Source organism: Homo sapiens, chromosome X, assembly GCF_000001405.40.
Source record: "Homo sapiens chromosome X, GRCh38.p14 Primary Assembly".
Taxonomy (NCBI): Eukaryota; Metazoa; Chordata; class Mammalia; order Primates; family Hominidae; genus Homo; species Homo sapiens.
Window position 1 is genome coordinate 130,259,480 of NC_000023.11, and position 26,313 is coordinate 130,285,792.

General features: G+C 41.8%; 1 protein-coding gene across 2 annotated transcripts in view, besides 3 other annotated features; it reads right to left on the minus strand.

Annotated features, from left to right (window-relative positions):
* The window catches only part of ZNF280C (zinc finger protein 280C), a 66,193-nt gene extending 56,773 nt beyond the window's left edge, over nt 1–9,420 (minus strand). For both annotated transcript variants that reach the window (XM_006724765.4, NM_017666.5), the window contains exons 1-2: nt 9,283–9,420; nt 940–986 (exon numbers count right to left, since the gene is read on the minus strand). In XM_006724765.4, coding sequence (XP_006724828.1) covers nt 940–970 — 31 coding nt within the window. In that variant the 5' untranslated portion in view covers nt 971–986; nt 9,283–9,420. The remainder of the gene's footprint in view (nt 1–939; nt 987–9,282) is intronic.
* Nucleotides 9,121–9,200: a silencer, noted in NCBI's record as "silent region_20998". NCBI's record gives its function as "represses an Ori minimal core promoter by ATAC-STARR-seq in GM12878 lymphoblastoid cells {active_cell/tissue: GM12878}" and the evidence as "EXISTENCE:reporter gene assay evidence [ECO:0000049][PMID:35858748]".
* Nucleotides 20,483–21,476: an enhancer, noted in NCBI's record as "OCT4-NANOG-H3K27ac hESC enhancer chrX:129413936-129414929 (GRCh37/hg19 assembly coordinates)". NCBI's record gives its function as "activates a minimal SCP1, AML or CMV promoter by ChIP-STARR-seq in naive and primed H9 embryonic stem cells {active_cell/tissue: H9 hESC(naive and primed)}" and the evidence as "EXISTENCE:reporter gene assay evidence [ECO:0000049][PMID:30033119]".
* Nucleotides 21,477–22,469: an enhancer, noted in NCBI's record as "OCT4-NANOG-H3K27ac hESC enhancer chrX:129414930-129415922 (GRCh37/hg19 assembly coordinates)". NCBI's record gives its function as "activates a minimal SCP1, AML or CMV promoter by ChIP-STARR-seq in naive H9 embryonic stem cells {active_cell/tissue: H9 hESC(naive)}" and the evidence as "EXISTENCE:reporter gene assay evidence [ECO:0000049][PMID:30033119]".

A 26,313-nucleotide genomic window follows, 5' to 3' on the forward strand; every position in this document is an offset into this window, starting at 1 on the left:
TGCTACCGAGCAAAAAATTTTAAAAGGCACATAATAACATATATAGTATGATCTTATTTAGAAATTATTTTTTGTCTATGCACAGAAAAAAGTTTGTGATTATGTATACTAAACCTACAACAGTAGTTATCGCTGGGGATGAGAAGGAAACATTTCATATCTATTACTGACATGTTTACTGTATTTTTTTTTAAACTAGGAATATGTATTACTTTAATAAATATTTGTTTTGGCCAGGCACAGTGGCTCACGCCTGTAATCCCAGCACTTTGGGAGGCCGATGTGGGTGGATCACTTGAGGTCAGTTCGAGACCACTCTGGCCAACATGGTGAAACCCCATCTCTACTAAAAATACAAAAATTAGCCAGGCATGGTGGCGGGTGCCTGTAATCCAAGCTACTTGGGAGGCTGAGGCATGAGAATTGCTTGAACCTGGGCAGCGGAGCTTGCTGTGAGCCGAGATCACGCCACTGCACTCCAGCTTAGGTGACAGAGTGAGAATCTGTCTTAAAAATAAACAGGCCAGGTGCGGTGGCTCACGCCTGTAATCCCAGCACTTTGGGAGGCTGAGGCGGGTGGATCACGAAGTCAGGAGATTGAGACCATCCTGGCTAACACAGTAAAACCCCGTCTCTACTGAAAATACAAAAAATTAGCTGGGTGTGGTGGTGGGCGCCTGTAATCCCAGCTACTCAGGAGGCTGAGGCAGGAGAATGGCGTGAACCCAGGAGGTGGAGCTTGCAGTGAGCTGAGATCATGCCACTGCACTCCAGCCTGGGCGACACAGTGAGACTCTGTCTCAAAAAAATAAAAATAAATAAATAAATAATATTTGTTTTTAAGAAAATGTGCCCACTTCTGTCTCTAATCTTTTCTTTTGAAAGGTTTACAGTACAAAAACCATGCCTATTAGTATCAACTACAGCAGAAATACTTACTTTTTGGTTGAAAAGGTTTGTCGTCATCCATGAAGTTGCAAGGTCACCTAAGTACGAACACATGACATCAATCAATGTTATGAGTCACTTTAAGTAACACCAAGTATTGAAACATGAAACCTGAGATCCAAAATCTTTGGGTCTAATTTTGATCTCCAGCACACTCACCATATGACTCCAGACAAGACAGTAAGCTAGGTCTCAGTTTTCCACCCTCTAAAATAAAGATGTCTACTACTAGTGTGGATTTTGTTAAATTAAATGCACATAAATTTAGTCTTTTTCTCCTACAAAAGCCCACCTTTTGAGTTTGATATGTTTAATACACACAGGTAATTCATTTTCCATAATTGGTTCATTTCCAAATGAATACATTTAACATATAGTTAAATGTATTAAACATTTACTACTTGAAAAAATCGGAGTTATCAGATTACAAATAAACTTCAAAAGGGATCTTTATGCAAAAATGAGTAATTATCCTGTAATATATGTTTTAGTAAATCTGAATTCTGAAATGCTAAGTGACATTAATCTTTAACTGATTCCTATTCTTCACATTTCAGAAATATTATTACTATAAGAAAACACATACATTTAGATATTTTTAGTTTTTTGAAAAGTAACAGAAAAGTAATTGGATAAATTGCGTAGTAAAACAATTCATTATAAAGTAACTGTTCATTGCCTTTTGTGCTCAGGGTAGTATGCCAAGTTCTAGGGAAAATACAAAGATGAATAAGCCATAGTCCTTGCCTTCAGAAGTTTACAATCCGTCTACGGTTCTTTGGGCTTTTCAAAAAGCTGTTACATTAAACGTTATCAAAAAAAATGTGAATTGCTTTCTAAAACAGGAATTTGTATCCTGAGTTCTCGTGCACTGAACATACCATATATTCTACATACAGAATAAACTTTTAAAATACTATTTAAGTTATAAAACAAAAAAGGTAAAAATCAGACATCAGAAATCTAAAGTAGGATATACAGAGCTAATTCAGTCTCCACATTTGTCTTTATCTTCCAACTGGCAAAAGCAAACTCCCTAATTCCAAATTATTTGGACGGAATTAGAGCAAAGGGGAAAATATTACTTTAACTCCAAAAGAAGTTACTTGTATAAATGTTTGGATTTCTACTACAAGAGTCTCTAGTGAATTCTGTAATTCAGTAAATGTCCCTAGTTTTGAGGTCTGACTATTCAAATCTCTTTAAACTCAACTACTTGGATAGTTAGTGCTTGTTCCTAAATTAGAATTAAGGTAATACATATGCCACGCAGATAAATACATGACCATTCTTGCTCAACATTAAGGATCTATTGCTACCAAGAGCACAGAATTTTTTAAAGTCACAATTGCACAGCCTATGAGATTCATATAACACTTTTTTTTTTTAATTTTTATGTTTTAGAGACAAGGTCTCACTATGTTGCCCAGGCTGGAGTGCCGTGGCTATTCACAAGCACGACTCATCATCGCATACCACAGCCTTGAACTCTTGGGCTCAAGTGATCCTCCCAAGTAACTGGGACTACAGGTGAACATCACTGTGCCTGGCTTAACACTTTAATTAAATGATCATATAAAATATTTATTGGCATAACCATCCTAAAATGATTACTAAATGTACAAGTAGTCTATATAAACAAGTCATATTTACTGCCTATGGCTATAGAGATAGCTTTTGAGGCCCAATGCAGCCACCAAAGAGTCTCAATTGGTACGCTCATAAATGCTCTAAAAAGTCAGAAATCTTTAGATGCCATTAGAGCCATAACTTCAGTCCAAAGCTGTGCTATCCAATGAGGTAACCACTAGCCACATGTGGCTACTTCAACTTAATTAAAAAATAAAAATCCAGCTCCTCAGTCACTCTAGCCATATTTCAAGTGCTCAAAAGCTACAAGTGGTTAGCGACTACTATAGTGGATGATGCAGCTATGGAATTTCTATGGGACGACACGTCAAAAGAATACTACCATACTTAGTTCCAGTTTTTAAAATAAACAAATACATACAACTTCATGGATTCCTTTGGGGAAGGATTGCAGCCTTCTAAAACTATCACAAAAACCCCTAAAGTCACCACATCAGAATTTTGGTGGCAAGGGAAGGAATTGTATGGGGGATTAAGTCAGCTGTCAGAGAAATGGAATATCCAGCAAAGATATGCAGTGGGCATCTTAAGAGCTCCTATAATAGCAACTCCAGAGGGTCTCTAGGTTCTGCAACTCAGAGTTGGCATCAAAATAGGCACAAGAGGAAAGAACACCCCATATTTCAGCTACCGATTCAGGTGGAGACACTATACCCATGTTTAATACACTGTTCTTCTGAGGGAAAAAAAATGAATTCTGAGTAACTGACTGAGGAAACACCTACTGAACACAACCCATTCATTTTTTTGAAGACTGCCTGTATAAATAATTATAATTCCTATTTATTTTTTGGTTTCAGCTTTTATGTATCTAAAATTCAACTATGTTTTACAAGAGTTTATTCTACAAAAAGTTAAAAATAGATTGACATAGTTAAAATGGTAAATAGTATATGTATTTTGCCACAATAAAAAAACATTTAAATAGTTAATGGATGTCACTTTACACCCACTAGGATGGCTAGAATTAAAAGACAGATAATCACAAGTGTTGGCAAGGATGTAGAGAAATTGGAACCCTCATACACTGCTGGTGGGAATGTGAAATGGTACAGCCACTGTGGAAAACACTTTGGCAGTTCCTCACAAAGTTAAACAGAGTTATCACATGACCTAGCAATTACACTCCTAGAGACAGACAATTGAAAACATATGTCCACACAAAAATTTGCACACAAATGTTCACAGTGGCATTATTCACAATAGCCAAAAAGTGGAAACAACTCAAATACCCATCAACTCAGGAATGGACAAACAAAATGTGATATATCCATACAACTGAACACTATTTGGTAATAAAAAGGAATGAAGCACTGATACATGTTACAATACTAATGGGCCTTGAGAACATTATACTAAGTGAAGGAAGACAGTCAAAAAGACCACATATTGTATGATTTCATTCATACCAAATGTCTAGAAATGTCAAATCCATAGACAGAAAGTAGAGTAGAGGCTGCATATGGTTGGGAGGGTTGGTGGGAAATGGGGAGTGACTGTTAATGGGTACAGGGTTTCTTACTGGGGTGATGAAAATGTTCTAAAATTAACTGTGGTGCTAGCTGCACAACTGTGAATATACTAAAACCACTGAATTGCACACTTCAAATGAGTAAATTGTATGCTATATGAATTGTATCTCAATAATGCCATTAAGAAAATAATAAGGCCAGGTGCGGTGGCTTATGCCTGTAATCCCAGCACTTTGGGAGGCAGAGGCAGGTGCATTGCAAAGTCAGGAGTTCGAGACCAGCCTGACCAACATGGTGAAACCCCGTCTCTACTAAAAATATAAAAATTAGCTGGGCGTGGTAGCATGTGCCTGTAATCTCAGCTACTCAGGAGGCTGAGGCAGGAGAATAGCTTGAACCTGGGAGGTGGAGGCTGCAGTGAGCCGAGATTGCACCACTGCATTCCAGCCTGGGAGACAGAGTGAGACACCATCTCAAAAAAAAAAAAAAAAAGAAAAGAAAGAAAGAAAGAAAGAAAGAAAGAAAAAATAATCAGCTGGTAGGATTTAAGCTTGGGAGTGATGTGGAGAAAAAGTACCAAAGAAAGAACCTAACAAAGATAGCAAAGCTGTACGATTCTGGAGTAGAGAAAGGGAGAGTAGGTAAACATTCGACCGGTCCTGATGATACCATTTAAATACCTGAAGCTAACCATGCCTGAAGCAAATTATCCACAACAGCTTTTCAGTTAAGAGAGAAAATAATTATTCATTTTTGGTTTAATCTACTTTGAGCTAGGTTTCTGGCAACTGTGTTTAAAACTACTAATAAATTCATCAATGGATTACCCCATTTTTCAAACCAGGGTCAACAGACCTCTCAGGAAAATAGATATATTCCAGGTTGTGCAAGAGAGCTCTATAACAATATAATTCTCTTTTTGTTTTGCTATTTAACTTTTGCTATCTAAAAAAATTAACATAAGCCTGCTCTGGGGATTCTCTGGGTGACCAACCTTATATACATAAATGACGCATTTGCACTAAATGAAGGGCAATGACCATATGGTTAGCTATAGAAATGAAGGTACTGAAAGGGTTCAAATAAAAAACCTTGCTATTATTTATATATAAGTAGGGAATATATTATATATATAGTATATATCAGTAGGTATGAAAAACTCAATAGAAGTAGGTAGGCAGTGACTCAGCAAAATACTCATTCAATATATGAAAGCTGATTCAAATGGCAATGGTTTTGTAGTTTCACTTGACTGCTTTGTTTTATGGTTGTGTAAGAACTCTGAGAATGTTTCAAACATTTTAAGTTCAGGGGTGTCTGTGAAATGTTTTTCTTATAACAAGAATTGGTATAGTACGCAAATCCAAGAAAACTGGATTATATCTTGGTTCCTTAGACAATTTGACTGGCATCTCAACGATTCAAACTTTCAAAGTAGGTTTTGGGAACAAATTACATACAATTCAGAAAGAAAATAGAGGCTCTTCATATTTTCTTTGTCCAAGTTTTTATACTATGCAAATTATCTTTTTTTCTGAAAGCCTGAACACATGAAGTCCAGGTACATTTTGAGAAGACATTTAATAACTTTATTATTTTATCCTTATTCATTTTCAACTTTTGTCTCTGTTAATTTTCATACTTCATCTATTTGTAGAAAATAGCTGGTTTACACTAAGATTTAAAACTCACTAGCATAATACTTTGCAAAGTTTGCCTATATTTTAAAACATTTTATGTCAGCTTTGGGATGGGGCACTATAATAAAATATACTTCTACAAAGAAGTTTTACTTTATACTCAGGGTATAGACTTTATAGGCATACGCTTTTATTATAATTCATATGTAAAAGATATAATATGGGGAAAAGACTAATGTACAATTACTGGCCTTTTGAAGCCAATCTGTATAGTAAATATTTTATGTAAGTTTCATAAGATATTCTATAATCACTAATTCCTAAAGTAACCTCAAGAAGTATGTATTATTAATCAATTTGCTTTTTATACGAGTAAAACTTATCCACCAGGGAAAATGTAAGTAAGTGCATTGATGGGAACACTGGACATAGGGGCTGACAACCTGAGTGGGAATTTCTGGTCTACCACTTCCTGGCTGCCAAATCTGTAAGTATAATCAACCTCTGTAAGCCTTAGTTTTTCTATCTGTAAAACGAAAACAGTAATACCTTCCTTGCAGCACTACTGTGAACATTAAATAAAGCAAGTGAAATATTCCTCAACAGTACTTTGCACTATTTTTCTCAACTTCTCCTTCCTTACCTGAAGTCATACCGTTAAGTTGATGAATACAAGCACTTAAAGAAAACAAATCTAGTTCACATGAAGAGCTCAATTAAAATCATATCATAAATAAACTGCATCACATCAGTAGTTCTCAAACTCTTTTATCCCAGGATTTCTTTTCACTTAAAACTTAATGAGAACCCCAATGAGCTTTATGTTTATATGGACAATATGTGTTGATATTTCCCATATTAGAAATTGAAACTGAGACAGATTTCAAATGTTTTTATTTAAAATATTTATAAGCCCATTACAAGTTAATAAAAATACTTTTAATGAGAATAACTTTTAAAAAACAAATTTAATGAGAAAAGTAATATTGATTTACATTTTTGCAAATGTCTTTAATATTTATCTTAATAAAAAGCAGCTGGATTCTCTTATTCTCTGGGGAAAAATGCTGTATGATCTCACATGTGGAATCTAAACAACTTTATCTCATAGAAACAGAGAGTAGAAAGATGGTTACCAGAGACTTGGGAGTTCAGGGGTGGGACAGATGGGGAAAAGATGTTGATCCAAGAGTACGAAGTTTAATTAGATGGGAGGAATAAGTTTTAGTTATCTATTGCACTACAAGGTGACCACAGCTAATACTAATAATGTATTGTATATTTCAAAATTGCTAAAATAATTTCTAACATTCTCATAACAAAATGATAAATTGGTAAGGTGATGGCTATGTTAGCCTCTTTCAATAATGTATACATATCAAAACATCACATTGTACCCCATAAATACGCACAATTATCATTTGCCAATAAAAAGTTAAAAAGGAAACAAAAAAATGAAAAAAAAAACTCCTTAAAAGAAAACTACTTTGCAGCAAATGAATAAAGTCTAGACGAATACTCTACTTTCAGGAGTCATTTCTACAGTTCATTACTAGTGATGTTTCTCTGAATGTACAGAGCACTGGGAAAAAAAGTCTAGACGTATATATTTGATTCAAATTACTGAGGAAGGCTGGGCATGGAGGCTCACTCCTGTAATCCCAGCACTTTGGGAGGCCGAGGTGGGTGGATCACGAGGTCAGGCGTTCCAGACCAGCCTGGCCAACATAGTGAAACCCCATCTCTACTAAAATTACAAAAATTAGCCGGGCGTGGTGGCAAGGGCCTGTAACCCCAGCTGCTTAGGAGGCTGAGGTAGCAGAATCGGTTGAACCCGGGAGGCAGAGGTTGCAGTGAGCTGAGATCGCGCCACTGCACTCCAGCCCGGGCGACATTGCGAGACTCCGTCTCAAAAAAAAAAAAAAAAAATTACTGAGGAAATCAAATCTTTTTGAATCACTACTTAAGACAAACTCACTGAAAACCAAGTAGCTGAGATTTGGAGTTATTCAACCTAAGAACTTTTTCAATAGGATATTCTTCAACTCTTCAACATGCTTAGAAATAATATTAAAGTATGAAAAAGTCGAAAAAAAATGAAGCCTTAAAAATAAAAATATAAAGGAAAAAGGAATTGAATAATACTTCTTAAAACTTTTAAGTGAGCCTCCTTGCTTATTCTCCGTGACCACCTCACTCTCACAAAAAGTGAGACATAATATACCAAATTGAACATTGGATGAGGGTCAGAAAGCCTAGGTTTAAGAATTGGTTCCATCACTTCCTAGGCACATGACCTCGGTAAAGTTCTGTCCTTGAGGCTGTTTCCTCATCTTCAAACAGTTCTAACGACACCCTACAGCCCATCTCAAAAGGGGTGCTACCAATGAAATATACAAATGCAAGATACGATTATAATGGAATCTGTACTGCTGTAGAAACATCAAAGGTACACAGCCCTAATTTTACAAGCAAATCAGTGCCTTTGTAGGCTCAGTGAAGTTTCTGCGTAAGGAGATTAAGTTTGCACAGTAACCCCCAAACCAGGACACCTCACAAATACTAAGAGGAGACTTTTGCAGTTTAAAACTCTACTTCTAGGTTTCTATTTTATGTTTAGGGGCACTAAAAGACATTACAACTCATAGTCCAAACCTGAAAACAATAGTAAAAAAAATTTAAGGTCGCAGATTTAAAAAACTCCACAAAACTAACAAATCTTTCCAAACAAAGAGAATCCCCTGGATGAAGGTCTCCCGTGCTTGCAGAAGCTGGTTCACTTGACAATTTCCTCTCGAATTTCTCCTTAAAAAAGCATTAAAACCTGAGAGAAGTTGAAAGGAACTCCCTCCATCTCTAGAGCAGGAGTATACCTCAGCATAATTTTTTCCATCTCTTTAAGTAAAACCTGCAAACCTCCTAGTTAGAATATAGTGTATTTAACTCCACGTTTCTCCTCAGGGCTCTTATCCTCTAGACAATAACGGAATAGAGCACGATTTCTGTGACAGAGAAGGGAAGTCCCTTTGGCCAGAACAAGGTTGTGGGCATGGAATGACCGGTCCTGTGTGGGGGGAACCTGCGCAGAAAGAAGGGGTCACAGGGTCTCTGATGCCTGAAAGTTCGGAATCCCCTCAAGTCTCTTTTCGTTTGATTGAAGAGACTTGAGGGTGGGCGGGTCTCCGTCAAACATCAGTATCAACCGTACAAAAGACGAAAGGGAGTTGCCTCCAGAATGAAAAGCCCAAACCGGGTTGGAAACAGACCGACAGGACTCAGGAGGTGAGAAGGCTGCCGCAGCTGCCGCGGCCCGCGAAACCACTGCCCGCCGCGGGCCGCCAGGCTCTACCTCCAGAAAACCCTCCCCCTTCAGGGCCCGGCGCAAGATGGTGGCCCACCAGCTACCACGCCGCCAAGCCTGTCCCCTCCCCCGCACCCCCGTCGATCCGCACCGGCATAGAGACCCTCAGCCAGCCGCCCTCAGAACCGCCCTCTGGGGAAGGCTGCCTCGGCCGCGCGGGAGAGCTGCTGCCTCCTTCCGCGCGGCACAGGCGGGGGCGGGGGCCGCTTACCGAGAGCAGAGCAGATCGGTCTGACTGGGGTTCGGATAAGGAGGAGGAGAAAGAGGAGGAGGAAAGGGAGGAGCGCGAAAAACCTCAGGCGACAGCCTCAGCAACAGCGACTCCCCCGGAGACTTCCAGCGCGGAACCGGCGTCTCAGCCGGGGGCAGAAGTATATAACTGCACGCGCTGCCTCATGGGTAGACGCCGACTCCACCCCCTGAACATCCGGGGCCTTTTAACCGCCCACGGACGGACGGCTGGTACTTACATGTGCACATGTGCAGCTACTTTACTTACCGTCGAAGGCAGCGGAGGAAGTGTAATTGACTAGCGTGGATGCAGCTTTTCTAAGCAAACGCTCGATTTAACCTGGAGTTGTCATCCCAAAAAATACATTGTACCTGACTACAGAGAAACATGAATTCTGGGTCTTCCTTGTGTGTGAGGGCTAAAGACACGAGTTAAAAATATAAATATATTGTTTTCTGGAAATACTGTACTTGAAACACGTCTCAAAATACTAGTTATTTTTACCTTTTGTTTTAAACATATGGTTTTGCTTGTCTCTCTGTTACTTCTAATTGCCATATGGATGCCTATAGTAGGTACAAAAAATGCTAAGGAAAAATACATTTACTCTTACACACAAGGAAGACCCAGAATTCATGTTTCTCTGTAGTCAGGTACAATGTATTTTGTGGGATGACAACTCCAGGTTAAATCGAGCGTTTGCTTAGAAAAGCTGCATCCACGCTAGTCAATTACACTTCCTCCGCTGCCTTCGACGGTAAGTAAAGTAGCTGCACTTGTGCACATGTAAGTACCAGCCGTCCGTCCGTGGGCTGGCCGCGGTGGCTCACACTTCTAATTCCAGCACTTTGGGAGGCTGAGGTGGGTGGATCACCTGGGGTGAGGAGTTTGAGACCACTTCCCTTTCCTCCTCGCCTTTCTCCTCCTCCTTCTCTGAACCCCAGTCAGCCTGACCAACATAGTGAAACCCCATCTTTACTAAAAATACAAAATTAGCAGGGTGTGGTGGCACATGCCTGTAATCCCAGCTACTTGGGAGGCTGAGGCGGGAGAATCACTGGAACTTGTAAATACATTTACAAGAAAAACACTTGCCAAAATACTGCTTACAGAAACATTTTCTAGACATTGTGCTTTGAACTGTAAAAGTTTCTTCTCCCAAATTTCTCCACAAGGTTTATAGCAGTACTGGTTCATCTCTCTTTTTCTTTTTTGAGACGGAGTTTCGCTCTTGTTGCCCAGGCAGGAGTCCAATGGCGTGATCTTGGCTCACCGCAACCTCCGCTTCCCGGGTTCAAGTGACTCTCCTGCCTCAGCCTCCCGAGTAGCTGGGATTACAGGCATGCGCCACCACACCCGACTAATTTTGTATTTTTAGTAGAGACGGGGTTTCTCCATGTTGGTCAGGCTGGTCTCGAACTCCCCACCTCAGGTGATCTGCCTGCCTCGGCCTCCCAAAGTGCTGGGATTACAAGCGTGAGCCACCACGCCTGGCCCAATTCATCTCTTAAGAGTTGCCCAGACTGAAAATATCGTGTGGCTTACATAACACACACGTAAATCCTGTCACTGAATCCTACCATTTTTTTTATTTGAGCTAGTTTTTTCTTTCTTATTTATACAGCTATTTGCTTCTGACCCTGAAAATAAGCTTTACAGGAAAAGACAGAGAATAATCAAAATAAAACAGTGAAAAGTCCCAAAATCTTGGAGCATGCATAGTTGGTCCCTGCTTCCGGTCAGGGTGATAAGAAAGTCCGGGCACCTTTTCCTTTGATGCCAGCAGGAAATTTAAAACTAGCAAATCTACAGCCGCATGACTCTGCTTTTGGCTGTAGTGGGAAATTTAAAACTTGTGATTCTCCAGCCTGCCTCCTTCTTTGGCATTGGTGGGAAATTTAAAACTGGCAACAAAAATTGGTGCAGTTGAGAAATTTAAAACTTGCAAATCTACAGCCTGTGCGGCATTTTCACCAGCCCCACTTCCTAGATGCTATAAAGGCCCATCCAACTTCCTCTGCCTCTGAAACCAGCCCAGACCTGTTTGCAGCACCCAGCCCTCCCTCACTTACCCCCACTAGTCCCCAGGGTAATAAAATTTCTCTCAAATTCTCTTGTCATATCTAGTGTCACGAGTGTCCACATCCAACCTAAAATTACGAGGAGGAATGGTCAAACTGCCTCAGCAGGATGACCAGAAAACACTTATACACCCAAATTTCAATCTAACTTATTCTTTTTTTCGTGAAAAATACAGCCAAGAAGACCAGCGGGCTCTGGTCAGTTGACTGTTTGCAGACTCTGGTCAGCAAATTTTCTATCAAGATGAAAATTTGAGAAACTAAATAATAACAATAATTAAAAGGATGTCTGGTGAGAATGGAATTAACACATGGGAAATTGTTTGGGTGATTTTTAACTGTTCTTAAAACTCTTCCCCAGGCTTCTAGAAAACCACTCTATATTGGTTCTCTTGACTGGCTGGCCGTACGTTCTTTTTTATTTTTCAGCACTTCCAGTAAATGAGGGCTTACTCCTGTATAGGTTTTTCTGACAATTTTAAAAATTGAGACAAATTTACATGAAAAAAATCTACCATTTTGAAGTGTACAATAGAGTGATTTCTTATATATATTTACAGTATTGTGCAACCATCACTGCTATCTAATTCCAGAACATTTTCATTACCTCCCACCAAAAAACCTGCAAACCTATTAGTAGCCACTCCTAATTTCCTCCTATTTGTATCCTCTCACCAATCATTAATTAACGTTTTTTATCTATGGATTTGCCTATTCTGGATATCACATATAAATGTAATCATACAGTATGTAGTTTTTCATGTCTAGCTTCTTTCATTCACTATAATGTTTCTGAAGTAGGTTCATCCATGTTGTAGCACATATCAATTCGTTCTTTTCTCTCTTTCTCCCTCCCTCCCTCCCTCCCTCCCTCCCTCCCTCCCTCCCTTCCTTCCTTCCTTCCTTCCTTCCTTCCTTTCCAGATGGCCTCTGGCTCTGGCTCTTAGGCTGGAGTGCAGTGGGGCGATTTCCAGTCACGGCAACCTCCACCTCCCAGGTTCAAGCAATTCTCCTGCCTCAGCCTCCTGAGTTGCTGAGATTACAGGGTCCTGCAACCATGCCAAGCTAATTTTTGTATTTTTAGTAGAGTTGGGGCTTCATCATGTTGGCCAGGCTGGTCTTGAACTCCTGACCTCAAGTGATCCACCCGCCTCAACCTTCCAAAATGTTGGGATTACAGGCTTGAGCCACTGCACCCGGGCCACTTCATTTCTTTCTATTATTGCATGATATTTCATTGTACAAACATATCACTTTCTGTTTATCCATTCTTCAGTTGATGGACGTTTGGGTTGTTTCTGCTTTTGGGCTGTTATAAATAATGTAGCCATGAATATCAGTGTATTAGTCTGTTCTCACACTGCTCTTAAGATATTACCTGAGATTGGGTGATTTATACACAAAGGAGATTTAATTGACTCACAGTTCCGCATGGCTGGGAAAGCCTCATGAAACTTATACCATGAAGGAAGAGAAAGCAGGCACCCTCTTTACAAGGTGGCAGGAGAGAGAAAGAGTGTGTGTAGGAGGAAATGTCAAACACTTATAAAACCATCAGATCTTGTGAGAACTCACTCATTATCATGAGAACAGCATGGGAGAAACTGCCCCTATGATCTAATCACCTCCCACCAGGTCTCTCCCTCAAAACCTGGGGATTACAATTCAAGATGAGATTTGGGTGGGGACACGAAGTCTAACCATATCAACTGGTGTACAAGAATTTTTTTTTTTTTTTGAGATGGAGTTTCACTCTTCTTGCCCAGGCTGGAGTGCAGTGGCATGATCTTGGCTGACTGCAACCTCTGCCTCCTGAGTTCAAGCGATTCTCCTGCCTCAGCCTCCTGAGTAGCTGGGATTACAGGCACCCACCACCATGCTCGGCTAATTTTTTGTATTTTTAGTAGAGACGGGGTTTCAACATGTTGGCCAGGCTGGTCTCGAACTCCTGACATCAGGTGATCCACCTGCCTAGGCCTCCCAAAGTGCAGGGATTACAGACATGAGCCACCATGCCCAGCCGGTGTACAAGATTTTTAAAAAAGCTTTATGAAGATAAAGTTCACATAAGGTACAATTTATGCACTTAAGTGTGCAATTCAGTGGTTTTTAGTATATTCACAGGTACATGCAACCATCACCACAGTCAATTTTAGAACACTTTCATCACCCTAAAAAGAAATTCTGGCCAGGCGCGGTGGCTCACACCTGTAATCCCAGCACTTTGGGAGGCCAAGGCGGGCGGATCACGAGGTCAGGAGATCGAGACCATCCTGGCTAACACAGTGAAACCCTGTCTCTACTAAAAATACAAAAAATTAGCCGGGTTTGGTGGCGGGTGCCTGTAGTCCCAGCTACTCGGGAGGCTGAGGCAGGAGAATGGTGTGAACCTGGGAGGTGGAGCTTGCAGTGAGCCGAGATCATGCCACTGCACTCCAGCCTGGGCGACAGACCAAGACTCCATCTCAAAACAAAGAAAAAAAAAAGAAATTCTATGCACATTCGTCACAACATCCTTACTCACCCTACCCCTCTTTTCAGCTACCCTCCTGCCCTACACAACTACTAGTCTACCTTTTGTCTGTGCAGATTTCCCTGTTCTTTATATTTCATATAAATGGAAGTATATAATATGCTGTCTTTTGTGACTGGCTTCTTTCCCTTAGCATAATGTTTTCAAGGTTCACTCACGTTGTAGCATGTGCTTATTTCCTTTTTATGGCTGAATAATATTCCATTGCATGGCTATAGTATATTTTGTTTATTCATTTGTCAGTTGATGAACATTTGTGTTGTTTCCACTTTTGGGCTATTATGAATATTCCTGTGCAAATATTTGGGTGAAAATATATTTTCAATTCTCTTTGTTATATAACTAGGAGTGTAATTGCTAAGCAATATGATAACTATAATTAACTTTTTGATGGACTGTTAAACTTTTTCACCATGGCTGCACAGTTTTTCATTCCCACTAGGATTTATTATGATTCCAATTTCTCCACAAACTCACCAACACTTGCTATTTTCCATTTTTGTTTTTCTTATTTTGGTTATAGCCATCCTAATGAGTGTAAAGTAGTACCATGGTTTCTGCTGGCTTCTGATCTCAGAATTTCTGCCACTTCCTACAGTCAGTCCACTGGTCCCGGGTTTTACCCTTTGATCTGCTGTGGTGGGCCCACTTGTTCTCCATTCAACATCCGTGTTACACAGGAACTGGGAACAAGTCAGGGAAACTAAACCTCAGATCTGCCATCTGCCTGAGCCTGAGGCATTTTCATTTTTATTTTGATATCACTGTGCTTTAGGATGGTACACAGAAGCCCAATAAACAGCCTCTTTCTAGAGCAAGATGGCATGGGTGAGGAGTTGGAGGAGGTAAAGGAAGAGAGGGGTTGGAGAGGACGGAGGAGAGGACGGGGGATGAGGATGAGAAGGGATAGAAGGAAGGAGAAGAGATAAGAAAGGATGGAGAGGAAGGGAGAATTATCCATGACCTGAAAAAGTTGAACCCCTTCCTCTAGTTACATTTCCAGTTTCTTTCCTGGCCTGAATTTGGGTGGAGCCTGATGCCCAAGGCAGGTGTTTTGTGTACATCTAGCAGCTATAATGTTACCAAGCACAGAGAAGTTTGAAGCAAGTCACATAGGAATATTTATTGGGCTTCCCAGGCAGCATCATGAAGTGGGCTGACAGATTGTGTTTTCAATTTACTCTACGTATTATTATTAAAAAGTCCTTAAGATTGTTGTTTTGTTTTCCTTTTTCTCAGTATGAGTATGGATCCTCAGTGGCTTTTGGTCAACTCATTCTCCTTCTGAATATGGAGACAGTTTGGAAGCAAATACACGAAGTGCTGAACCCCTAGTCATATGCCCTCAAAAGTGACATTGGCAAAATGTTAAAACTAACTCTTGTTATCTTTCTTTTAAATATCTTGGTCAGGCGTGGTGGCTCATGCCTGTAATCCCAGCAGTTTGGGAGGGCAAGGTGGGAGGACCCTGAAGTCAGGAGTTTTGAGACCAGCCTGGCCAACATGGTGAAACCCTGTCTCTATTAAAAATACAAAAATTAGCTGGGCATGATGGTGGGTGCCTGTAATCTCAGCTACTTGGGAGGCTGAGGCAGGAGAATCACTCGAACTGGGAGGTGGAGGTTGCAGTGAGCTGAAATGGCACCACTGCATTCCAGCCTGGGTGACAGAGTGAGACTCCATCTCAAATAAATAAATAAATAAATATCCCTTCCCATCTGGCATCCAAGAGCACATATCACTTCCCCACATTCTGCCTATCCACGTAAACTCCAAGTCCCCTAAACTCTCGTTGGCTGGAATCTAAAAGTCTAAAAGTGCTAGAGTTTCCCCCTACTCACGTTAGAAGAGCTGACTATAGATATCTCTTCTTGACTTGTTCAGTTATGTCACGTTGGTAGGTTGAAACTTGCCATGATGAAAGTATTAACACCACAGGAAATCAACAAACACTACTAATGAGAGCTGGATTACCAGCATAAACCCCTGGTTGAATTCTATGGCTTCAGTCTCTATGGCCTAATGCTTAAGTAAAGGTGCCTCAGAAAGCTCCTCATATTCTTTTAAACCAAAGCAGCAATTCCATGTTTACATTTTGAGCTTCTACCTAATATTTTTTTGAAGAAAAGTTTCCACTGATATGAAATAAATGATAAACATTTGAAAGCTATTGTTCTAGGCCAAGCCACCAGTTTTGAAGATGTGTTCATGGAAACCTAGAAAGGTTAAAATAGTTATTCAACATCACACAAGGGACAAGAGAAAAAAGTCAGGGCAAGTACTGGGACCTAGGTTTCCTTAATCCCAGTCCAGTGCTCTTCCCATCTGTACTTAATAATACTGCATTAAAATGTTTCCTGTTCTGTTTCTCATCCCATCAAAAATGGGTTTGTCAAATAGTCTGTCTAATAAAATAATCAACGTTCCCAGGAACGTATGTTTATTATGAGTGGGGCCTTCTAGAGAAAATGCCCCCTCAGAACACTTTAGTGAATGGAAGATATTCACTTTAGTGAATGAAAGGAAAGAAAATAGGCAGGAGTAGAGATACCAGATATACACAAATGACAAAAATTGTGGATAAAAATTATACAGCACTTATTGTGTGCAAAGCACTGTTCTCAGTACTTTATAAATATGAATTATTTCATACAACAACTCTATCAGTAAAGTACTCTTATTACCATCCCACTTTACAGATGGCACAGAGATATCAAATAAATTGTTGTCACAAAACTGGAAAGTGGTAAAACTAGGATTTTAACCCAGGCATTCTGGTTCTAGCATCTGGCATCTTAGCCATTATGCTATCCTGTCTCTTTAGGTGATCAATAAATATATGTCTCTTTAGGTGATCAAATAAATATAAATATATAGCTGATCAAAAAATATATATATATAATTATACTATCCTGTCTCTTTAGGTGATCAATAAATAAAGATAGTGAATGAATGAATAAGCATATAAATAGCATGAGACACCAAGATCGGAGGTTTTGGGGTGTGTTTTAAATAACAGAGGGAATATCACACCATGCTGTCTTCATGTAGAACCAAATATAAGTGAAATAGAGTAAGTAGCCAGTAGAATGTATCTCCCAGGAAGAAAAAGTCACTCCTATCAAAGGTTTGGTGGAAGAGATATGCTTAATCACCTGGGTCTCTAAGATTTCAATTAATGCCTTTCTATGCCTCTCACATTTCTGATTAAGCCACTTAGTGGTAGAGGACTCTTGAGCTAGTCCCAAGGATGATCAGGCCACTTATATAATTTCTAGGAAAAGAGAGTTTTCACACTCCTCTGGTAACTGTATACATAGATTGACTTAGCCTTTCAAAGCGAAAGGTTTAAATGTATGTAATCAGGACTTTGCATTATGCTATATGTCAGAGGAAAGGCACAAGTAAGTATGCAACATAGATGCTTCTCTTATGGCATTAACATCTGTTGGCAGGTTAGGCCCAAAACCCCAGAAATGATGAGTGAGCAATGCAAGAACATGTATAATCAACTATTAACTTTGTGTGGTTCAGACTGTCAAGTACAGAAAAAATTCACAGAAATGGAAAATTACAGCAGATGGAAGTAGACATGGAAGGCTTGCTCTTAAGCTTGAGTTTAGACCAAGCAGGATCTTGAAGGTTGAATACAATTTAATAAGGCAAAGAAGAGGCATTTCAGGTAAGAACAGTGACAGGAGAAAAGGTAAGGAGACAGAATTGAAAAGAATGCTTCTGTGAGACAATAATGGGACCAGTCTGATTAGAGGAAATGTTGTGTATGAGCAAGGCAGGAGAATGGGGTCTGGAGGCAGGGAACCTAAGGCCGTTTCCTGCTGACTTCCTAGAAATAAATTGAAAGGAAAACCCTAACTTTCCACGCCTAAGTAACAAGAGGACTAGAGGATACTCCCTTTGCAAACCTTTTCTGTGCAGCAGATGGAACATTGAAAGCACCTCTGATTGGTTGCTTTTTCTCAGGCCTCTGAGCCCAAGCCTGCATGTATACATCCAGATGGCCTGAAGTAACTAAAGAATCACAAAAGAAGTGAAAATGGCCAGTTCCTGCCTTAACTGATGATATTACCTTGTGAAATTCCTTCTGGCTCAGAAGCTCCCCCACTGAGCACCTTGTGACCCCCGCCCCTGCCTGCTAGAGAACAACCTCCTTTGACTGTAATTTTCCGCTACCTGTCCAAATCCTGTAAAACTGCCCCACCCCTAACTCCCTTTTACTGACTCTCTTTTCGGACTCAGCCTGCCTGCACCCAGGTGATTAAAAAGCTTTATTGCTCACACAAAGCCTTTTGGTGGTCTCTTCACATGGACGCGCATGACATTTGGTGCCATGACTTGGATTGGGGGACCTCCCTTGGGAGATCAATCCCCTGTCCTCCTGCTCTTTGCTCCGTGACAAAGATCTGCCTACGATCTTGGGTCCTCAGACCAACCAGCCCAAAGAACATCTCACCAATTTTAAATTGGGTAAGTGGCCTCTTTTTACTCTCTTCTCCAACCTCTCTCACTATCCCTCTACCTCTTTCTTCTTTCAATCTTGGCACCACCCTTCAGTCTCTCCCTTCTCTTAATTTCAGTTCCTTTCCTTTTCTGGTAGAGACAGAGGAGATGCTTTTTATCCATGAACCCAAAACTCCGGCGCCAGCCACAGACTCGGGAAGACAGGCTTCCCTTGGTGTTTAATCACTGTGGGGATGCCTGCCTGATTATTCACCCATGTTTCAGAGGTGTCTGATCACCGTGGGGACACCTGCCTTGATCCTTCACCTTAGTGGCAAGTACCACTTTCCTAGGGGGCAAGTACCCCCCCACCCCTTCTCTCCATGTCTCTACCCTCTCTTTTCTCTGGGCTTGTCTCCTTCACTATAGGCAACTTTCCACCCTCCATTCCTCCTTCTTCTCCCTTAGCCTGTGTTCTCAAGAACTTAAAACTTCTTCAACTCACACCTGACCTAAAACCTAAATGCCTTATTTTCTTCTGCAATGCCACTCGACCCCAATACAAACTCGACAATGGTTCCAAATAGCCAGAAAACAGCACTTTTGATTTCTCCATCCTACAAGATCTAGATAATTCTTGTTGTAAAATGGGCAAATGGTCTAAGGTGCCTGACGTCCAGGCATTCTTTTACACATTAGCCCCTCCCTAGTCTCTGTTTCCAAAGCAATTCATCCCAAATCTTTCTTCTTTCCCTCCCGCCTGTTCCCTCAGTACCAACCCCAAGCATCGCTGAGTCTTTTCAATCTTCCTTTTCTACTGACCCATCTGACCTCTCCCCTCCTCCCCAGGCTGCTCCTCACCAGGCCGAGCCAGGTCTCAATTCTTCCTCAGCCTCCACTCCTCCACCCTATAATCCTCTATCACCTCCCCTCCTCACACCTGGTCTGGCTTATAGTTTCATTCTGCAACTAGCCCTCCCCGACCTGCCCAACAATTTCCTCTTAAAGAGGTGGCTGGAGCTAAAGGCATAGTCAAGGTTAATGCTCCTTTTTCTTTATCTAACCTCTCCCAAATCAGTTAGCATTTAGGCTTTTTCATCAAATATAAAAACCCAGCCCAGTTCATGGCTAGTTTGGCAGCAACCCTGAGACGCTTTATAGCCCTAGACCCTGAAAGGTCAGAAGGCTGTCTTATTCTCAATATGCGTTTTATTACCCAATCCGCTCTTGACATTAGAAAAAGCCCCAAAAATTAGATTCCAGCCCTCAAACCCCACAAACAAGACTTAATTAACCTCGCCTTCAAGGTGTACCATAATAGAAAAGAGTTACAATTACTTGCCTCTGCTGTGAGACAAAACCCAGCCACATCTCCAGCACACAAGAACTTCAGAACGCCTAAGCAACAGTGACCAGGCATTCCTCCAGGACCTCCTCCATCAGGATCTTGCTTCAAGTGCCAGAAATCTGGCCACTGGGCCAAGGAATGCCTGCAGCCCAGGATTCCTCCTAAGCCATGTCCCATCTGTGTGGGACCCCACTGGAAATCGGACTGTCCAACTCACCAATCAAGCAAGTAATTACACTGAACCCCCTTGGGCGCTCTCTAATTGGATGTCCTGGGTCCTCCCAATTCCTAGTCCTTTAATACCTGTCTTTCTCCTTCTCTTATTCGGACCTTGTGTCTTCTGTTTAGTTTCTCAATTCATACAAAACTGTATCCAGGCCACCACCAATCATTCTATATGACAAATGTTTCTTCTAACAACCTCACAATATCACCCCTTACCACAAAATCTTCCTTCAGCTTAATGTCTCCCACTCTAGGTACCCACACTGCCCCTAATCTTGCTTGAAGAAGCCCTGAGAAACATCGCCCATTATCTCTCCATACCACCCCCACAAATTTTTGCCACCCCAACACTTTACCACTATTTCTTTTTATTTTTCTTATTAATATAAGAAGACAGGAATGTCAGGCCTCTGAGCCCAAGCCTGCACATATACATCCAGATGGCCTGAAGTAACTGAAGAATCACAAAAGAAGTGAAAATGGCCAGTCCTGCATTAACTGATGATATTACCTTGTGAAATTCCTTCTCCTGGCTCAGAAGCACCCCCACTGAGCACCTTATGACCCCCGCCCCTGCCCGCCAGAGAACAACCCCCTTTGACTGTAATTTTCCACTACCTACCCAAATCCTATAAAACTGCCCCACCCCTAACTCCCTTTGCTGACTCTCTTTTTGGACTCAGCCTGCCTGCACCCAGGTGATTAAAAAGTTTTATTGCCCACACAAAGCCTATTGGTGGTCTTTTCACACGGACACGCATGACACTTTCTGTAACCAATCAGACGTTTGCACAGGAGTGTGATCTTTGTAATTTCACTTCAGCCTCTGATTGTGGGCCACCACTCATTTATGAGGTACCAAGTGGCCAATGGGAAACCTCTAGCGGGTATTTGGACCTGAGAAGATTCTGTATCTGGGGCCCTTGAGCCACTGCTCAGGCCCGCTCCCACACTGTGGAGTGTACTTTCATTTTCAATAAATCTCTGCTTTTGTTCTGTAGTTGCTTCATTCTTTCCTTCCTTTGCTGTGCATTTTGTCTAATTCTTTGTTCAAAACGCCAAGAACCCTGGACAACCTGCAGTCAAGACCCTCTACCAGTAACATATTTTGGCAAGCTGGCCAGGAGAAAGCAGGTCCAAAGTTTGGGATTTATTTTTCTCCTTTCCCCTTTTACATACAGGGAAATCTTTCTGTCTCTCTCTTTTCCTTTCTAACTCAGGACCCTCAGTAGGCAGCACCTAAGAATGCAGACAACTGCAACTTTCTGGCCAGGTCCACTCTCTGGTGAAACTGAAAGTCTTCCATGTGGAAGTGCCTGACCACCACCGCCTGGTTTGGGTAAGGGACCTGAGTCCTTTTCCTTGTTTTCGTTTTTCTGAGTCCTATTCCTTTCTTCCTTTTTCTGAGTTTTCTTTTTTCATTTTTCAGTCTTTCAGCGGCCTTTTCCTAGTAGCTCCTTGGTAATTGAGGGGAACTGGTTGGGTCCACTCTCCGTTGTTGTCTGAAGGCCAAGGAGAAAGCAGGGATGGCTGCCCTTCTCAGAAGGGGGAAAGACTCTTTTCTATCCTTTTCAGTGATAGTCCCTGATCCCTATGTGTGAAGCAATTGGCAGTGGCAGTTCATCCAGGGTGAACTCACACATGTTTCAGGCGACTTAAACCTCCTTTTCTTATGCTAAATTCTTCCCTTCCCCCACTCGACTGGCTAAGGACAGAAAACCCACCTAGCTATGCCAAAAAAAAAAAAAAAAGGGTTATACTAGTCAGAGGGTCTGGGATTGTCCCAGGTAGTCTGTGGGGGGTGGGGAGGTTAATTCATGAAAGGGAATTTATTATTGCCTCAATTGAGAGTTAAAGGGTTGCTTTCAGTGGGATAGAAAATCCTTAAGGAAAGAAAGTTCACAATAGGTCCTCAGTGGTAGAGGGAACCATTCCAAAGTGGTGCTGCCATACATCTAAGGTCAGATATCTGACAGGCTAAGTCAGGGCCTTTAAGGAGGGACGCCCTCAGGGAACCCAGCCTGGGCCCAGAATTTTTCCAAGGGGACACCCGGGCAAAATTTGGGTCACCTAGTGAGCCCTCCACTTTTCAAAGTCCTCTTTTCCAGACCACTAAGGGCAACTGTCAGTCTATTCCACCTGATTCCACTGTGGGCAACTCTCCACATATTCCACCTGATTCCCTGCTTGGTTACATCATCTACCATCGGAATCTATTTGACAATCTAAAGAGAAAATGTATACTTTTTTCTGCAATACTGTCTAGCCCCATTATAAGCTGCCCAGCCCAGAACAATGGGCAGTCAATGGTAGCTTAATTATGACATTATCCTGCAATTAGACCTATTTTGCAAGGGGTAGGGCAAATGGTCAGAAATCCCATATGTAAAGGCTTTCATGACCCTATTCCACACCTAACCATCTGTGAAACTCCCAGAACCCACTCCCATAAAGGAAAGTTCTAAGGCAGAACTAGATACTATAGATGACCCCCTTTTACAAGGGCCACTTGTCTGTCAGGGTGAACAGTGACCACCCCCATATGGCCCCTTGCCAAGTGCTCCTGAGGCTAAAACCCAGGAGCAAACACCGGAGACCCTACTAAGTCCCCCTCACACTCAGAGAGGAACACCGTATTTAACTCTCAACCCTGCTACCTTTTAGGGAATTAGCAGGAGCTAAGGGGTCAGTCCTAGTGCAGGTCCCCTTCTCTATAATTGATATACAATAATATAAGGAAAAGCTGGGAAGCTATTCCGAGAATCCTAGGAAATTTGCAGATGGGTTCCAAACTTTGACCTTAGCCTTTGATCTCTCATGGAGAGATGTTCAATTCATTCTAGCAACCTGTTGCACTCCTTCAGAAAAGGAAGGAGTCATTGAGGCCACCCACCAGGAAGCAGACGAATTATTTGCCCAAAACCCTCAGGGCAATTGCTCAGGCCCAGACACAGTTTCCATTACTGATCCTAACTGGGAATATAACACCCCTGTGGGAATGAACAACCGGGTTAAATTTCTTGAGGCTTTCCTTTGAGGAATGAGAAAGGGAATAACTAAGACAGTAAATTATGATAAAGTAAGGGAGATTATGCAAGGCAGGGAGGAAAACCCAGCCATGTTTTGTGGCAGGCTGGAGGAAGCCTTTAAAAAGTACACTAATCTGGACCCTTCCTTTTCCAAAGGCAAAATATTAATGGCACAGCATTTCATTAGCCAATCTGCCCCAGACATTAGACATAAGCTCCGAAAGCTACAAATGGGGCCACAAACTAATCAAAATCAGCTTCCTGATACCACCTTTATGGTGTATAACAATTGTGACCTGGAGGAAGGAAAAAAGGGAACAGAATGAAGAAAAATGGCAAGCCAGAATTACGGCAGCCATCATTGGCGATGCCTTGAATGCTCAAAGAGCATCTAAGGGAAATCCAAAGGGCAATAAGGATAATGCCAGCAAAGGCTCTTGCTTCAAATGCAAGAAAAATGGGCACTGGGCAAAGGAATGTAGTAAGCCCCTGCCAGGCCCCTACTGTCAATGCGAAGGCACCAGTTGTGGCCCCTGGCACTAGAGAATTGACTGTCCCTTCTCCCACCAAGGGTCTCAGTCAGGCAAAACTCTAGTTTTGCGAAAGGAGGAATTAGATGAAGACTGAAGGGGCCTGGATTCTTCCTCACTGCCCCTGCCCAGGAACATTTTAATTACTACTGAGGAGCCTCAGGTAACTCTGGACATCACAGGCACCCAAATTCAGTTTCTTTTCGATACAGGGGCAAATTACTCTGTTCTTACTGCTTATGCAGGAAAACTTTCCTCCCAGTCCATGAGTGTTATGGGAATGAAAGGGAAGCCACAGACAAGATTTTTTATTCCTCCTTTGATTTTTCAATTTGAGAGACAAATCTTCCAGCAGGAATTCCTAGTAGTACCAAGCTGCCCAATCCCCCTCTTGGGAAGAGATATTGTGGTTAGAACAAGGGCACTACAATAATTTAAGCATCACCCAGTGAAATTGCTAATAGTCAAAATTACAGACAATGTCACAGACCACATTAATAAACAGGCTAACCCACTGGCATGGTATACTGGAAAACCGGGGAAGGCTAAAATGGCAGTGCCAGTCAAAATACAACCTAAAAATCCCAGCTAATTTTCCAATTGAAAACAATACCCAATTAAGCAGGAAACAAGAAAAAGCCTTACACCAATAGTTAAAGTATTACTTACCCATGGGCTCTTAAGACCCTGTAATTCATTGGGCATGGTGGCTCACACCTGTAATCCCAGCACTTTGGGAGGCCGAGGTGGGCATATCACTTGAGGTCAGTAGTTTGAGACCAGCCTGACCAACATGGAGAAACCCCGTCTCTACTAAAAGTACAAAATTAGCTGGACATGGTGGCACATGCCTGTAATCCCAGCTACTCGGGAGGCCGAGGCAGGAGAATTGCTTGAACCTGGGAGGCAGAGGTTGTGGTGAGCCGAGATCACGCCATTGCACTCCAGCCTGGGCAACAAGAGTGAAACTCTGTCTAAAAAAAAAAAACCCTGTAATCCTCCCTGCAATACCCCCACCTTACCCATTCTAAAACCTTCAGGGGAATACCGATTAGTACAGGACCTCAGAATAATTAATGAAGCTGTTATTTCCATATACTCTCCTGGCTTAGGTGCCAGGGGATGCAAAATGGTTCTCAGTCCTAGACCTAAAAGATGCTTTCTTCTCCATTCCCCTGGCCCCAAAGTCCCAATACCTTTTTGCCTTCTAATGGGAAAATCCTAATACCAGGGAAAAACAACAATACACTTGGACAGTGCTCCCTCAGAGCTTTTGGAATAGCCCCCATTTCTTTGCCTGGGCTTTAGAGAGGGGTCTGAGGTATCTGCAATTAGAGAATGGGAGTATACTTCAGCGTGTGAATGAACTTCTTGTGTGTAGCCCAACTCAGGAGTTTCTGACCAAAATACTATAAAAACTTTGATTTTCCTGGCAGACAGGAGATATAAAGTGTCCAAAAAGAAGGCACAGATTACCCTTTAATAGGTCCAATATTTAGGGTATGTCTTAACACTTGGAGCCTGACAAATAGTCCCAGAATGAGTGCAAGCCATATGTGGTTTGGGGGCCCCCCACACCAGGCAACAGCTTCGTTCTTTTTGGGGAATGGCCAGGTTTTGCAGAACATGGGTACCAAATTTAGGACTCAGAGCAAAGCCCCTGTATGAAGCAACAAGGGGGCCTGAAAATCAGCTAATGGAATGGACCCCGGAAATGAGAGGAGCCTTTGCCAAGTTAAAACAGGCTCTCGCCCAGGCTCCCGCTCTTGGCATCCCGGACCTAACTAAGCCCTTCTTTTTGTATGTAGCAGAGAAGAGGGACATAGCTGTGGGAGTGCTAGCGCAGAAATTTGGATCAGAACACAGACCAACCACCTACTTTTCGAAGAAGTTAAACGGAGTGGCCTTGAGGTGGCCAAGTTGCCTGCAGGCAGTAACAGCCACTGCTATGTTAGTGGATGAAGCCACTAAAATTCCCCTGGGCCAACCACTGGAAGTTCTAGCCCCTCATCAGGTAAAGTTAGTTTTAGAGCTAAAGGGACACCTCTGGATGACAGGGGAAAGGATAACCAAATACCAGGCTATGCTCCTAGACAATCCAGATGTAATCCTTAAAACCTTTAACACTGAATCTGGCTTCATTGCTGCCCATAGGCCCAATAACTGATCATTCCTATGAGCAGGTCATTGCACGTATGTTAGCTGTCCTGCTTTGAAAGATCAGCCTCTCCCAGATTCTGAGGATGACCGATTCACAGATGGCAGTAGTTTTGTGTCAAATGGGGAGTGCTGAGCTGGATATGCAGTAGTGAATCATAACATAATTACTGAAGCCCAGCCACTGCCCCCAGGCACATCAGCACAAAAGACTGAAATCATTGCTCTTACTCGAGCATTAATGTTGGGACAAGGGAAAAAGCTTAACATCTATACAGATTTTAAATATGCATTCTTTGTGGTTCATGCTCATGCTACAATCTGGAAAGAAAGGGGATTACTAACTAGCAAACACTCCCCCATAAAGCATGGGCCTGAAATTCTTCAGCTACTGGAAGCAATACACCTGTCAAAGGCCATAGCTATAATCCATTACAGGGGACATCAAAGGGACTCAACCCCTATAGCACAAGGGAACAGAAAGCCTGATAGAGAAGCCAAAGCTACAGCCCTCAGGGTGCAATCCCAACAGATCCTAGCACTACTTCCTTTCTATGATTCCCCAATATAACCGGAGTACACACTACAGGAAGAACAGTTAATAAAGGAAGAAGGGAGACAAAAACAAGGATCCTGGTGGTATTGGGGT